At 33.1% G+C, this 2,324-nt stretch overlaps 1 non-coding gene across 1 annotated transcript; it reads right to left on the bottom strand.

The window, feature by feature from the left end:
• Positions 1-1,274: 1,274 nt before the first annotated feature.
• Positions 1,275-1,342, bottom strand: MIR3135B (microRNA 3135b). The gene has a single exon (NR_039668.1). It is a non-coding gene; the product is annotated as a microRNA 3135b (primary transcript).
• Between the last annotated feature and the right edge of the window lie 982 nt (positions 1,343-2,324).

Consider the following 2,324-nt stretch of genomic DNA (forward strand, 5'->3'; position numbering starts at 1 on the left):
GTTTTTAACTCTCTAAGGGGTATATTCCCTCCTTATGTCCCATAAATTTTAAGTCAAGGTGAATTATATGCAACAGCAGTTTATCCATATTTACTTTGGGGAGGAGGTGGGGAGACTCCGGGAGAAAATAATTATAAATGCAGACTGGGAATTAGTAAGTGCAGGGAATCTGAACCAGTGGTGATCATGAAAACGTCCATCACAGAACACAGAGGATTTTTAGGGCAATGAAACTACTCTATTTGATACCACAATGGTGAATAAATATCATTATGCGCTTGCCCAAATCCATAGAATGTACAACACCAAGAATGAACCTTAATATAAACTATGGACTTTGGGTGATAATGATGTGTCAGTGTAAGTTCATAAGTTGTAGCAAATGTACCTCTGTCATGAAGGATGTTACTAGTGGGGGAGGCTATGCATGTGTGGGAACAGAGAGCATATGGGATACATCTATCTGTACTCTACAATTTTTCTGGGAACCTAAAACTTCTCTAAAATAAACTCTATTAAAAAAAAAGAAAAGAAAAGGTCAACAATAATGATCCCAAATATATAAAATTAAAACTGTAGTATAAAAATGGTCACATGAAAATGCATGAATGTGCTAAGAACTTTTCTGCAATAGGATTTAAAATAAATTTTATATAAATTTCAATGATTCATGAGCCAAGAACCCAGCATTCTGGAGGTGTGTGCATTTGTGTGTGTGTGTGTGTGTGTGTGTGTGTGTGTGTGTGTGTAAGGCTTACATTGAATGGCATTATAACCAGAGTCATACAGAAATACACAAATGCTCCCCTATTTAGAATCCTTCCCCAAGAAATACTGAGGAAAGCAAATATAATGGTAGTTGGATTTTACTGAAAGAATGTATTCAAAAAGTATTTATATAATGTTAAAATAGCATAGCTAAAATTAGTTTTATAAAATAGAGCAAATATATCTTTTTATCAGCTAAAAGTTCAAAGTGAAATCATCATTATTATATTATTATATTATTATTATAAACAGTTATAAATCAGGCTGCATGATTTTAAATTAAATGATTCTTAAAAATTGTTATCTGAATTATTTCAGATTACATACATAAAGTATGACTTCATTAATAGGTAATATCACATTGTTTAAATTTTACAAAATTTCCAGTCACAATGGTTCATGCCTGTAATCTCAGCACAAGGTGAGGGTCCCTTAAAGCCCAGGAGATGGAGACCAGTCTGTAGTCCCAGCTAGTAGGGAGGCTGAGGCAGGAGGATTGCTGCTTGAGCCCAGGAGTTCGAGGCTGCAGTGAGCTAGGACTGACTGCACCACTGCACTCGCTCCAGCCTGGGCAACACAGCGAGACCCCGTCTCTAAAAATAAATAAATAAATGAATAAATAAATAAAAATTACAAAACGTAAAAATCACGTAAAATATTTCAGGTTTGTACTTACCACATACAAACTAGAGATATGAAGAATTAAACATTACAAATAAAGCACTTCACACACAGTCTGGCCCATAGTAAGCAGTTTATAGAAGTTAACAAATTTGTGTTATTGTTATTTTCTGGAGTCCAAGACAAAATCCCATGATGAATGACACCACAAGGATGTAAGCAACAAAATTCAGAATATGAGAAGTTCTACTAGATTAAATAAAAAGATTTCTCCAGCAAACAATTTGCAAAAAAAGTTAAAAATAGAGAAAAGAAAAGCTATACACTTGAAAAAGACTGAAGAAATATAGTAACCAAACGCTGAGCTTTGTCTAGATTCATATTCAAACAAAACATCTGTTAAAAAATTTATATGAGGCAATCAGAAAAATTGACACTGAGTGTATTAAGGAATTATTTATCTCGTTTTAAATGTGTTAGTGGCATTGCTGTTATGTTTCTAAAAAGCCATTATATTTTAGATTTTCATAATAAAAATGTATAAATGAAATATGATACCTAAAAATATCTTCAAAATAATCCAGTATGTGCCTGTATGATAACTGGGTGGGTTTACAAAATTGCTCATGAATTGATTATTGTTAAAGCAAGGCTGTTGATACATGGAATTCTTCTCTGTACTATTGCACACAGTTGAAATTTTCTGTAATACAAAGGTTTTTTTTTTAAATGTATTCAGGAAAGTCCCATAAACATAGGCAGACAAGCATTCTGTTTGAAGTTATGTTAGTTTTTCAGTTTTTCTCATTTTTATCACATTTAGGAAACCCTGTCCAAGGCCTGCCCAAGACTGTAAGAACCTCTCAGGAATGCAACTATAAAGAATGTGTATGCAGGAACTAATAATAACAAAGGAAAGCAAAGTAATGCTTGCT

The sequence above is a fragment of the Homo sapiens genome, chromosome 6, assembly GCF_000001405.40.
Source record: "Homo sapiens chromosome 6, GRCh38.p14 Primary Assembly".
Taxonomy (NCBI): Eukaryota; Metazoa; Chordata; class Mammalia; order Primates; family Hominidae; genus Homo; species Homo sapiens.